We start from the raw sequence: 14,116 nt of genomic DNA, 5'->3' as shown, positions 1-14,116 counted from the left end.
CTGGGTTCTGGTATGAGTTCCACGTTGCCCTCTCTGGGACAGTCTAGAACAGAGGCTGCTTGGTACCACCGTGGAGGCGCTTAGTAACTGTTTGCTGAGCAGATAGATACAGAGCTGCTGTTTTGTCTGTTTTTGAGAGTGACCCACTGACCCCCATTCTCTGACCAAAGGCCAGTGCTGGGGGAGGCCTTTCCCTGGGAACTCAAGACACCATCGGGGACCCTGGATCTCAATGAACGGCCTCAAATCACAGCTCCGCTCCCCAAATGAGCAGCGCCAGGGGGAGGCAAAGCCCTGGTGTGGACACTGTGTGGATTCGAAGCTCGCTCACCACCACCAAGCAGCATGGCGCTAGGCCTTTCACTTCCTCATCCATGCACCCCCTCAGGAGGGGTTGTGCAGACTAGGCCACTCGATACTAGTGAAGATATCCAAAACACGATAGGTGCTTAACCAGGACCGATCACTTCCTGGCCCAGCTCCCTACTGCTCCCGGTGTTTCTAGAGTGCCAGGTCCCTAGATTTCAAATCCTAGAGTCAGCAAACCCCTCTGCTCTGCCCCCATACCTGGGTAGCAGTTCCTCTTTGATCCCACCTCTGAGTATCTGTCCAAACCTCTCTCCTGTCCCACTTTTCCCGCCACTTCATCACTCCCCTTTCTTACCTGGCTTCTAGCTCCCAGCTCCCAGTCCATCTGACTGGTCCACGCCCCATTCATTTTCATTTACATCCCTCTCCCTCTGCCACACTCCAGCTCCAGAACCTCCCATGGCTCCCTACTGCCAGCCCAGCCAGGCCAAGCCTGTCCCACACCCCCAACACGCTGAGTTAGAGCAAGAGCACAGATGTGGGAGGCAGCAGCAGGGAGGCTTCCTGGAGGAGGTGTGGCTGAGCTGGAAACTGTACGGCAATGGGGAACATGTTAAGGGAGCAGAGGCTGGGAGCAAGCACTCCAGCAAGGAGGCACAGCACAGAGAAGAAAGCGCACAGGGTGAGGCTGTGGTGGTGTGAGCCGGGCAGGAGTGACGGGGTTGTGGAGAGCTTCCCCAGTCTCACCCGAGCTGGTTCTCATAACCTGTGCTGCCTGGGCCTGCAGAGTCCACGCTCAGATCATACTGAGCCCTGAGCAGTGACACTGCGGAGTTGCCTTGGTGACAGGTGGGCCACATCACACCTCTATTTACCTATTCTGATGATATCGTGCGGGCTGCCTTGTGCTTCCTCTCCCAGGACGTCGTCTTCTTCCTGTGCTAGAATCATGGGATGTACCTTGTCTCTCAGAGGCCCTGCTGGGTTGGAATCAGAGGCGGCTCGTGGTCTTCTCACCACGTCCAAATCCCCATCCTCATCCAGCTGAGCTTCAGCCACTTCCTGGCCAGTGGTGTCAGTCCCGGCCTGGAGGGAGAAACCCTCATTACCATGGCCACTTCCTGGAGGGGACCCTGTGCTGCCTGTCTCAGCAGAAGGAGGCTCCTTTGTGTGAACATCTCTGTGACTGCCACCCTTGGCTCCTGAATCTGTCCAAGAGTCTTGGCTCCATAGAAGCTTGAATTGGGACAGGAAAACTGAAAGGCAAGACAGAACGCAAAATGAGAATTCCAAGATGTTTTCTTTTTTACCTTCCTCTTCTTCTTTGAGAATATCTGATTACCAATAGGAAAGATTTTTAAAGGCCAGGTAGAGATATACTAATGCCAGCAGAAAAGGCCCACTTGATTCAGCTGTGACCACCACCAGCCAGGAGGCTGGGGCCACCACCAAGAGCAGCCGCCATTTCATGAGAATCTATGAGGCACTTGGCTCATATCAGCTCATTCAATCTCCACAATTGCTGTGAAGATACCATTATCAGCTTCATCTTACAGACCCAGAAACTGAGGCTTAGAGGACTAAGCTGACCAAGGCCACACAACTTTTAGGAATGAGCTCAGGGGCCTCTCCTCTAAGCTCACACAGCATCCCGGGTTTATGCCAGTTTTTGAATCTGTCCGATCATCCATTCATTCATCACCGAACACTGTGTGCCAAGTACCATGCCAGGTGCTGGGGGTACAAAGCAGGATTTGGTATGTTAGGGCCTTACATTTTAGGAGTGAAGTTGGGGAAGAAACATTAAGCAAGTAAACAAGATAATTACAGGCTGTGTTAATTACCAGGAATATAGTAAAACTGCATTCTGTGTGACACAGATGTGGCAACCACATAAGGCAGGGGTGAGCAAACTTTTCCTGTAACAGGTTAGATAAAAAAGTTTTTTGGCTGGGCATGGTGGCTTACACCTGTAATTCCAGCACTTTGGGAGGCCAAGACAGGAAGATTTCTTGAGCCCAGGAATTTGACCAGCCTGGGCAACATGGTAAATCCCCTTCTCTACAAAAAAATTATCCAGGTATGGTGGCATGTGCCTATAGTCCCAGCTACTTGGGAGGCTGAGATGGGAGGATCACCTGAGCCTGGGGAGGTCGAGGCTGTAGTGAGTCAAGACTGCACCACCGCACTCCAGCTTGGGTGACAGAATGAGACCCTGTCTCATAAAATGTATCTATTTTCAAGCTTTGTGGGCCCTGTGATCTTTGTTGCAACTCCTCAACTCTGCCGTTATAGCACAAAAACAGCTGTAAAAACACGTTAATGACTGGGCATGGCTGTGGCTTCATAAAACTCTTTATAAAAATAGCTGCAGGCCAGATTTGGCTCACAGGCTGCAGTTTGTATACCCCTGGTATAATGTACCATCCAAATTAGGGCAGGAGGTCAATGGGAATTATTAATAATCACACCATAACAAGCTAATACAGGGTAGTTGGGGTTAGGGAGGGTGGCCAGGGAGGGGCTGTCTGTGGAGATGATACTTGAGGAGCCAGGAGGGGAGGAAAGCAGGTGTTTTCTCCCTGGCCTTGTATCTTATGGTTGCTTCTCTCCCCTCCCTGTGTTTGAGGGACAGAAAGAACCTGAGAGTGGCCACAGAAGAGCAAGAGAGAGTGACATAAGGGTAGGCACACAAGCAGAGGCTGGGTCAGGCTGGCCTCACAGACCAAGCTGAGGAACCTGGATGTTATTCTGAGAGCAACGGAAAGCCACTGGAGGTCTAACTCAGGAAGTGCTGTGATTTGATCTGCATTTTCAAAAGACGTCCTTGGCTGCTGCAGAGATAAGCGGGGAGGGTGTGCAGCAGTGAACTCAGTGGGAGAAGACAGAGGCAGCCAGGCAAGCAACAGAGGTGGCTGGACTAGGGTAAAGGGAGTGGGGATAAAGAGCAGAGGACACTTTGGGAGGCCGAGGCGGGCGGCACGAGGTCAGGAGATCAAGACCATTCTGGTTAACACGGTGAAACCCTGTGTCTACCAAAAATACAAAAAAATTAGCCAGGCGTGGTGGCGGGTGCCTGTAGTCCCAGCTACTTGGGAGGCTGAGGCAGGAGAATGGCGTGAACCCGGGAGGCGGAGCTTGCAGTGAGCCGAGATCGCATGCCACTGCACTCCAGCCTGGGTGAGGGAGCGAGACTGCCTCAAAAAAAAAAAAAAAAAAAAAAAGAGTAGAGGACAGGGTTGGATGCGGTGGTTCATGCCCGTAATCCCAGCACTTTGGGAGGCCGGGGTGGGAGGATCACCTGAGGTCAGAAGTTCAAGACCAGCCTGACCAACATGGTGAAACTCTGTCTGTACTAAAAATACAAAAATTAGCTGGGCGTGGTGGCAGGTGCCGGTAATCCCAGCTACTCGGGAGGCTGAGGCAGGAGAGTTGCTTGAACCCGGGAGGCGGAGGTTGCAGTGAGCCGAGGTCGCGCCACTGCACTGCCCCCTGGGTGACAGAGCGAGCTTCCGTCTCAAAAAAAAAAAAAAAAAAAAGAGCAGAGGACAGATGGAGCCCCAGCACTTTGTCTCCCCAGTGGACCCTGGGCTTGCTGACGGCAAAGTTTGGCTCATTCGTATCTGCATTCCCAGCATCAAGTCCTGGGTCAGGCGCACAATAGGTGCTCAGGAAACCACAGGAGTTTGCTTAATGAAAGTGGGGGGACAGCAGCTTGCCTGTAATCCCAGGGACTCAAGAGGCTAAGGTGGGAGGGTTGCTTCAGGCCTGGAGTTCAAAACCAGCCTGGGCTAGCAAGACTCCAGCTCTACAAAATAAAAACCAGCCAGGTGTGGTGATGTGAGCCTGTAGTCTCAGCTACTCTGGAGGCAGGGGAAGGAAGATCACTTGAGTCCAGGAGTTTGAGGCTGCAGTGAGCCATGACTGTGCCACTGCACTCCAGACTGGGTGACAGAGTGAGATTGTCTTTAAGAAAAGCAAAAACAAAAGCAAAACAAACCCCCACATACAAAAATTGCAGAGTACAAGGTTTTTAAAAAATCATAAAGAAAAAAAGGGCACTTAAAAAGTGGTCTGAGGATAACAGTTACGTAATCCAGTCTTCCCAATATTTTCCCCAAAAAGATGAGTATGAGAAAGCAGAAAACAAAATAGGATCCGCAGGGCACCTGGGCCCAGGACCTTACCTGGCTGCCCCACGCTGTTCAGCCGTACCATGAGATGTCTATGGTTCGGGGTATAGAGGTGGACATCTGACAGCACAGTGTCGCTCCTAAAGGTGACCTCGTCCATGGCTGCCGCAGGAGCCAGCTGTACCATGGCCCAGGCTCCACCTTAGTCCTAGGACAGGAGTCCCTCAGAGGTGAGAATGGGTCCTCAGCATGGCAGGTCCCAGAGGAGATACTGCAGACAGGTCCAAGCTGGTAGCGAGTAGCTTTGCATCGCCCTGGGAGAAGATCTCAGAGACTTGGCCAGGGAAGAGAATCCAGCTGGAAATTAATGCGTTATTTTGTTTATATTCATTTCACTCATTATATTCATTTTATATTCATTCATATATTCATTATATTCATTTTCATAGTAACCTTTTATTTATAGAAAGGGATATGAATTTCCATTTATAAAGTTTCCTTTCCCTTTTTTTTCAACTTATTACAAAAAAATTTCAAACAGTAAGGATACAGGGGAATATCATAACCGTAGAACTACTGCTTAGATTCAATGATCCTCACCATTTTGCCACACGTGCCTGCCCTCTCTGGTTTCTTCTCCTTGAGCTGAGAGTACATTGTAGACATCATGACATTTTGCCCCTAAATTATTTAATGTCTGTCCCCTAAGAGCATTTCCCTATATAATCATAAGACCATTAGCAAATCTAAGTTAATTAATAATTCCCTAATAGCATTAAAGTCAATTTCCTCCATCTGTCTCCCAAAGGTCTTTGAGGTTTTTTTTCCCCCAGAAACCAGTATCCAATCACAATCTGCACTTTGCATTTAGTTGTTATGGCCCTTTACTCTTTCTTTTTTATTCTAGAAGCTGTTATCAACTGTCCCCACATCATTTGTTGTTATAAAGCTTTCCTATTTTAAACAATGTTTTATTTTTAAACATTTCTTTTTACAGACAGGGGCTTGCTCTGTTGCCCAGGCTGGAGTGCAGTGGTACAATCATGGCTCACTGCAGCCTCAAACTTCACGCGATCCTCCTGCCTCAACCTCCTTCATAGTTAGGACTACAGCTATGCCACCATACTTGGCATTAAATTTTTTTTTTTTGTAGAGACAAGGGTCTCACTATGTTTCCCAGGCTGGTCTCAAATTCTTGGGCTCAAGCCATCCTCCCATATCAGCTTCCTAAAGTGCTGGGATTACAGGCGTGAGCCATCATGCCTGGCTTAAAGCTCTGCTACTGAATTTAAAAAGATGAGTGGAATTAGGCGGGTGTCGTGGCGCGCGCTGGTAGTCCCAGCTACTTGGGAGGCTGAGGTGGGAGGATCGCTTGACACCAAAAGGCAGGGGTTGCAGTGAGCTGAGAATGCGTCACTGCACTCTGCACTCCAGGCTGGGTGGCAGAGCAAGACCCTGTCTCAAAAAGAAATTAAAAAAAAAAAAAAAAGAGTGAGTGGATTTAAAGGAAAAGTAGTAAGGGAGTCACTACACTGGTGATACACAGATATGGCAAAATTATGCAGGTGACACATTAATAACTAAAACTTGGAAAACCATGGCTGAGGCAAAGTGGTCAAGAACAGGTGGGACCTCCCTCCAACCGTTTCACCTAATCAAAAAGCATCATCAAACAGCAGTAGTCTGATGGGCTTTGAAGCTGGACAGACCAGGTGGGGATCCCTGGTTTCTCACCTTCTAGCCATGTGATTTCAGGAAAATCACTTCGCCTCTCTGCATCTGTTTCTTCAGCCACAATCTCACGCAGTGTTACTGGGTGGGTAAACTGCTGAGCAGAGTCCTTGGCTCACAGTAGGTGTTAATAAAACACCAGCAACCTCCTTGTCCTGGGGTTGGTTTCAGGTATTTGACCCAAACCTGCCTGTAACCCCTGACTGCCTATAGGAGCTGTTCCTACCTGGGTAGATGTCATGAAATCTTCAGGGCCCCCACTTCTTCAACTGCAAAATGAGGTCATCATGACTCAGGCTGTCCTAATGATCCCAGTACACTGCTGGAGTTCCTACATTTAAGTGGTTGCTGTGGGGCAGCAAAAGCTGTCCCAACAAAAAAATTTTTAAGAAAAAGATGATTCCTTATTCATCTCCATGCTAGCTTTCCTACTCAACACCATAAAGCCATCAAAATGCAAGTGGGTTGTAAAGAAAGTCTGTGAATCTGGCAAATCAATGCAGAATTTCATGGTGTCATTGAAAGTGATGGAGAAATGCTGGACCTGAAGGCCAACACTCAATCAATCGGACTGGCAAAACCACACCAGATTCCAGAAGAGAAAATACAGCTTATACCTACCACTCATTTCAAAGGCAGATCAAGCTCTCTCAGGACTTAGAGATGTCCTGGGGGAAAACTGAGGACTTTCACATACAGTTTTTTTTGAAGGGGGTGGGGAAGATCCTCTCTAATATTGCTGTAAAAATCAAAAGTGAACCAAAGGATGCCATTTCTTTTTTTGCCATAGCGCATTTTTTTTTTTTTTTCTGAGACAGAGTCTCACTCTGTTGCCCAGGCTAGAGTGCAGTGGTGCCATCTCGGCTCACTACAACCTCCGCCTCCTGGGCTCAAGTGATCCTACCTCAGAGTCCCGAGTAACTGGGACTACAGGCATGCACCACAATGTCCACCTAATTTTTGTATTTTTAGTAAAGATGGGGTTTTGCCATGTTGGCCAGGCTAGTCTTGAACTCCTGACCAAGGTAGATCCATCTACCTTGGCCTCCCAAAGTGCTGGGATTATAGGTGTGAGCCACCAGGCATGGCCTATAGCGCAATTTTGTTGGAAAACTTACATCCCAGAAAAATCAATGTTCTTTGCTTTTTCCAAAAGTGAGCATAATATTACACACCAAATTTTAAGTATAGACACACACAAAAAAACTCAAATTCTTAATCTCTAGTTGAATTTTCCATTTTTAAATTCAACCCAACCAGGCTTCCCAAGAAATGTACGCTGCAATGTAAGTTCCAGATGAAGGAGATTCCCTTTAAGTGGCTTTCCCTAGAATCAGCTATCTGGGAATAAGGAGGCCCTCTTGAACCTATCTCAGGCCCTCATATACTCAGAGGAGTATATGAGACAATTACCACTTTTCGGGCTTACGACATATAGTAAACGTTCAATAAGCAACAATAGTAAATACTATCATTATAGTAATATAATAATGATTAAAGTGAATGCTGGGAAGAAAGAAAAAAGGTAACAGTTTCTCTAGTCAGGAAAAGTCTCTTTCCGGAAATGCAGGGTCTGTATGGGCTTCGGGCTCCTCTCTTTACTGGGCAGAGCTGAGAAAGGAGACCCAGGTTGCAGATGGGGACCTGCCCCACCACCTCTCCATAGGGCTGCAGGCTCATCCCTGCAGCAGGAGCTAACGTGTTCTTGGCTCTTCTAAGGCTGTGGGGGCTAGACTGAGACGCTACCAGCTTTCTTCTCCTATAGGTCCCCAGTCAGTTGTCCCAAATAAGCAGTGTGCTGGGATCACGGTGTTGAAATAACTTCCCTCCTCATCTTTCTTTCTGATAACTGCAACTCACTCAACAATCAATAATTTGGCGCGATCCCATGACGATTTAGGCCAGGAGCTGGGGAGGGCAGGGTGTGAAGGCCCAGGCTGGGGGCAGGAAAGACGTGGCCTGGCCACGGTGCGTAGAGTGGTAGTGAGGGGCTCCGGGGACGTCCCCCGTGGGGCTACTCGTTCTCTTTGTCTTGTCGCCTTCCTGACGCCACCCTTGTGGGTTAACTATTGCCCTCTCAAAAAACAGTCACAGGTCGGGCACTGCCCTCCCTTCCTAATCTAGAACCGAAGGAGAGGTGCCTGGACCCAGGATGGAAACCCAGGTGAGGACGTGGACTTCTTTCCCCAACACCCGTGTTGAGAAGGGGAAACTGACGCTAAGAGTGGGGTCGGGCCTTAGGGATCTGGGCCTCCGATCTGTGGGAGCTCGGATTTCAAAGTCAGGCTCGGCGCCAGGAGGTTCCCTGCACCCTACCCTATCCCGCCGCCTCTCCCAGGCACTTACCCGCCGCGGGGCCCAGCCTGGGATCCCACCCGACTCCCGTCTCTGTGGGACTTAGGCGGCCGCCATAACAGGCGGTCTGCGCAGGCGCGGCCCCGCCCCCGCGTGCGACCATCCGACTGCCCCGCACCGTGGCTCCACCTACCTGCCCGGGCCGCGCATGCGTCCGAGGGTTGCCGGCGGGCACCTGTAGCCTTCGCTCTGGTCGCGGGCGAGGCGTGTTTGCTGGGGGGACCCGCCTAGGTGGCTAAACTCATTCCTCTAAAAGACTTAAATAGGAGTTAAATAACTCTCCCAGCTACTAAGTGGTAAAGCCTGGATTCGAACCCGGGGTGTGGGATCAGAGCCGGTGCTATTTAACCAGCATGCTACTGTATTTATTATCACGGGTGTTACCGTCATCCATGCTCTTAGTACTCGTTTGTTTGTTTGTTTGTTTATTTGAGATGGTCTTGCTCTGTCACCCAGGCTGGAGTGCAGCGGCGCAATTTTAGCTCACTGCAGCCTTGAACTCCTGGGCTTAAGGAATCCTGTTTCAGCCTCTCTAGTAGCTGGGACTACAGTTGCGTGGCACCATTTTTTTTTTTTTTTGTACAGACTGTATCTTGTTGTGTTGCCCAGGCTGGTCTCAAACTCCTGGCTTCAAGCAGTCCTCCTGCTTCGGCCTCCTAAAGCTCATAAATTACAGGCATGAGCCACCACGCCCAGCCAGTACTTGTTATTATTAATAGGTGGTAGTGATTTCATTAGGTGGTAGTGATTTCGTTAATTCGTATGCTCATCAAGTTTCCAACACCAAGGGGGTGAGACAGAGTGGCAAACATAAGACTCCATGTTTGCTCGTTTTTTCTTGCCTGCAGAATTTCAGAAAGCCTCTGAGTCCGTGACTGAGCACAGCCCTCAGAAGAATCCCCTGAAGAGGATGAGCAGGATAGACCACAGATTCTCACGTCTCTTGCCTGAGTCACTGCATTTTTAGAAAAAGTACAGTCAATAATATTGGCCCTTTTCTCAATCTATATATTCAGTGACATCATGGAAGTCAGCCTGGCCACAATGGAGTAAGCCAGGGGATGGGCCGCAGGAAACGAGGATACATAGGTAGCCAGGGTTAGAACTTTTGTGACATTCTAAGAACTTTGGATTTTACTGTGCGTGAGATGGGGAGCTGCCAGGGATATACACCACACTGACGTGTTCACAGACATGCCCAGACACACACAGTGGTGCTCACTCTCAGACATGTCAGTGAACATACAAATATACACACAGGAACATATGTAAAGTCCACATATGTAAAATCTATATCCCTGTGTGTTCACATATACACACACGCACACACATGGCCTCAGCTGGCAACCTTTGTCTAAATTACTTTTTTTTCTCTTTTCAAAATAGAATTAAATCAACATCAATTTCATGGTTACTGATGATAAAACGTGGAGAGTTGATAGGGTGACTAAGCGACACAAATAAGAATTTTTTTTTTTTTTTTTTTTAAGAAACAGATTATGTTTCCTGAAATCCCCCAGGACAGTACACAGAGAGCCAGTTGGGTGTCTTGGGACCAGATTCTATTCATAGTTTTCTCTCTAGTTCGCTGAGGGTTCTCTTAGTTATCCCCAGAGGATGTTGAGTGGTGGGGAGGGCACTAGGAAGGCATTGTTCACACCCTTGGGAGTTTTGTCTTCAAATTTAAACCGGGGGAATGACCCTTAAAAATCAAAAGATCACATTCCTCCTCTTGTCAAACCTATAATCTTTTATAGGGGATTAGTGCCCCTACAAAAGAGGCCCCAAAGAGCTGCCTCACTTCTTCTGTCATGTGAGGACACGGCAAAAAGACAGCCATCTATGACCAAGAATTGGACACAGAATCTGCCAGTGCCTTGATTTTGGACTTTCCAGCCCCTAGAACCATGAGAAATGAATGTGTTTATCAGCCACCCCATGTATGGTATTCTGTTATAGCAGCCCAGATGGCCCCAAAAGGGTTATCATTTCTGCCACAAATTTTGAGGTGGTTTGCAACACAGTAATAGGTCACCAGGTAAGGGGAAAGAAAGCCAGCCCTTCTTGGCAGGGCTGCAAAGAGATGGTAGCTGGGGGAGTGCGGGAGGGGGCCCTCAGTTCCGGAGCCTCAGTTATAAACAAGGCACACTGCTGGCCCCTTCATCTTGTGGTTTTGTTTCATTCTCACACCCATTCCGAAGCTCAGAGAGGTGAAGTGCCTTGCTCAGTGTTACCTAGCCAGTGAGACGCAGACTCACGTTTTCTTTTCTTTTCTTTTTTCTTTTTGACAGAGTCTCCATTTGTCGACCAGGCTGGAGTGCAGTGACGCCATCTCAGCTCACTGCAACCTCTGCCTCCCTGGATCAAGCAATTCTCCTGCCTCAGTCTCCTGAGTAGCTGGGATTACAGGCGTGTGCCACCACATCCAGCTAATTTTTGTATTTTTAGTAGAGACGGGGTTTCACCATGTTGGCCAGGCTGGTCTCAAACTCCTGACCTCACGTGATCTGCCCGCCTTGGCCTCCCAAAGTGCTGGGATTACAGGCATGAGCCACCACACTTGGCCTCAGACTCACATTTTCAAAATGTCCCAGTGAGTCTGCTGGGTGGAGCCTTAGGGTTAAATGCCCTCCCTAGTGTCCCAGGCAGGTCTTTTGCTTTGAGAGTCTCCCCCAGACTTGGCGAAGCAAGGGTTAAGGTGCATGCTCACACACGCTGGAGTGTCCATCACTCCCACCACCTGGACTAATGACAAACCATGTCTGCAGCAGAGGGAAGGCGGATGAACTGCCAGATGTGTATTAAGAAACCAGCTTGCAGGAAATTGCTGTCGGGTGATTATTATTAGCTGGGTTATTCAGAACAGCCCTTTCTCCAAAGGTCGTGCATTTACCAAATGCTTGATGTGTTTTCCCAGTCAGCCCCAGAAAATTTTGTCCTCCTGGAGAGAGAGCTTGTCCTCCAGGACTGCTGAAAGTGGGTGATGATAATTCTGCCCCCGCCTCCCATCAGCATATCACGGCAGCTGCTTTGAATGCACAGCAGTCTGCGCTCTGGTTCCTGGTTCTGTGTGCAGAGGCAGGAGGTTGACCTTCAAGAGCACAGAGCTGAGTTCAAATCCCCAGCTCGGCCACTGATTAATTATATTCATCCATTCACTACCTAATTTTGAAGAGCTTTTCATATCCTTGGTACTTGGGCAATTGCTTTACTTCTATGAAACTTAATTTCCTAGTGGCTCAAATACTGATAATACCTTTCTTGGCGTGTTGTGAGAATGAGTGGCATATCACCCGTGGAGAGTTCCAGACAATAACTCCCTTCCATTTCTTGAGATAATCTGACAGTGTCTGTTATATTTTAAAGAACCCACCAGTTTTACTCACTTCACCACGTCACATTGGTAGATGAAAAACAAAAAACAAAATAAGTTACAGTGCCATTCATACTGTATAAGATCAATTATGTAAAATAAAAAAACCCTCACAATTATATGTTTTCTCAAGCTAGGCAGAATGTGGTGTATGCATCAAGGGATTATTATTCAGCTGTAAAAAGGAATAAAGCAAAATAAACAAAAAAGCTTTAAAAAATCAGCTGGGGATGTTCGTGCATGACTATGTTCCCAGTTACTTGGGAAGCAGAGGAGGGAGGATTACTTGAGCCCAGGAGGTTGAGGCCACAGTGAGTGGTGTTTGCGTCACTGTACTCCAGCCTGGGCAACAGAGAGAGACCCTGTATTAAAAAAAAAGAAAAGAAATAGGGTCATTGTAGATGCAAGTAGTTAAGGATCTTGAAATCATCCTGGATTTAGGGCAGGCCCTAAGTCCAATGACAGCTGTCCTTATCACAAGAGGAGAGGACTCAGAAAGAAGACAATGTGGAGTCAGGCGGAGAATGGGGTGAGGCATGTAAGAGCCAAGGATCGCCCAGGATTGCCGGCAGCCTCCATGCGTCAGGACAGACACGCGGAACGGATTCTCCCTCAGAGCCTCCAGAAGGACCCAGCCATGCTGCTACTTTGATTTTGGACTCGTGGCCTCCAGAACTGTGCGGGAATGCAGGTCTGTTGGTTAAAGTCACCCAGTTTTATTTAGTTAAGAGACTAATACAAGGTTTTAGCTAATTTGTGCCTACTGGTCTTTTTATTTGCATTCCCCTTGGCTCAGAAAGCCCACTCTCAGCCCAGTTTCCATCGTCACAACTGGTTCCTTCTCGTCCAACATAGCTTAAATTATTTTTATTTTTTATTTTATTTTATTTTTATTTTTTGAGACAGAGTCTCACTGTCACCCAGGCTGGAGTGCAGTGACGCGATCTTTACTCACTGCAAACTCTGCCTCCTGGATTCAAGCAATTCTCCTGCCTCAGCCTCCCGAGTAGCTGGGATTACAGGCGCCAGCAACCACGCCTGGCTAATTTTTGTATTTTTAGTAGAAACGGGGTTTTGCCATGTTGGCCACGGTGGTCTCCGACTCCTGACCTCAGGTGATCCACCTACCTTGGCCTCCCAGAGTGCTGGGATTACAGGCATGAGCCACTGTGCCCGACCCATAGCTTAAATATTATCTGCTCAGTTGGCCCTTCCCTGCCCATCCCATCATGTGTTGACCCCTACTATCTGCCCAAGTAGCTCTCCTTTACACACCCTTTAATCTTCTTTCTTATTTCATTTTTTAAAAGTAGAAATGGGGTCTCGCTGTGTTATCCAAGCTGGTCTTGAACTCCTGGGCTCAATCAATCCTCCCACCTTGGCCTCCCAAATTTCTGGGATGACAGGCATGAGCCACTGCACCTGGCAACTTATATTTTCTTTTTAGATCTGTCACTCTCTGGAATGACCTATTTGTTATTTATTTATTTATTTTGAGACAGGGTCTCTCTCTGTCACCCAGTCTGAAGTGCAGTGGTGCAATCTCGGCTCACTGCAACCTCTGCCTCCTGGTTTCAAGCGATTCTCCTGCCTCAGCCTCCTGAGTAGCTGGGATTACAGGTGCGTGCCACCATGCCCTGCTATTTTTGTATTTTTAGTAGAGACGGGGTTTCACCCCATTAGCCAGGATGGTCTTGATCTCCTGACCTCATGATCCGCCTGTCTCGACTTCCCAAAGTGCTGGGATTACAGGGGTAACCCACCGCACCTGGCCTATTTGTTATTTTTTATTTGAGCTACAATGTTAGCTGCTTGAGAGCAGAGCCTTGCCTGGCTGCTATAATGCCAGCACCTGGCACATCACAGGGGCTGGACCTGGAGGTGGGGTTATTTGCAGAATGAATGAGAGACTGAAGACATCTGGAACACAACTGGGGGTACTGTTGCTCTGGGCTGTTGACATTCCACCCACTCAGCGGGGAGAAGAGACTTTAGTGATCCATTAGACCTGGATCAAAGTGTTCCCTTGAGATGAGCTGAAGAAGTCACCCTGTTCCTTCTTGTGTCTGGCTTTGGGAGAAAAATAGATATTTTCAATTGTCACAAGCCTGCTCTGTTTATCTTCTTTCTAGGTTACCCCCAAGACCCTGGGGAGGCCACAAATGTGGTAGAGGATCGTGGGCAGTGTCTCTTCCTGACCAGCCTCTCCTCCCTG

At 48.3% G+C, this 14,116-nt stretch overlaps 1 protein-coding gene across 13 annotated transcripts in view; it reads right to left on the bottom strand.

Annotated features, from left to right (window-relative positions):
• Positions 1 to 8,597, bottom strand: part of METTL22 (methyltransferase 22, Kin17 lysine) — a 45,577-nt gene extending 36,980 nt beyond the window's left edge. For 8 of the 13 annotated variants that reach the window (NR_134608.2, XM_047434610.1, XM_017023659.3 and 5 more), the window contains exons 1-3: positions 8,520 to 8,597; positions 4,497 to 4,799; positions 1,185 to 1,565 (exon numbers count right to left, since the gene is read on the bottom strand). Coding sequence is in view for 12 of the 13 variants with exons in the window: in XM_047434610.1 (XP_047290566.1) it covers positions 1,185 to 1,565; positions 4,497 to 4,629 (514 nt within the window). In the remaining variant the exon portion in view is untranslated. Of the gene's footprint in view, positions 1 to 1,184; positions 1,566 to 4,496; positions 4,800 to 6,176; positions 6,539 to 8,519 lie in introns of all 13 variants that reach the window. The other 5 variants (XM_017023660.2, XM_047434612.1, XM_047434614.1 and 2 more) reach the window with 2 other exon arrangements.
• Between the last annotated feature and the right edge of the window lie 5,519 nt (positions 8,598 to 14,116).

This window comes from Homo sapiens, chromosome 16 (genome assembly GCF_000001405.40).
Source record: "Homo sapiens chromosome 16, GRCh38.p14 Primary Assembly".
Lineage (NCBI taxonomy): Eukaryota > Metazoa > Chordata > Mammalia > Primates > Hominidae > Homo > Homo sapiens.
Note: the sequence above shows the minus strand (reverse complement) of the source record. Positions and strands in the feature narration are given on the sequence as shown.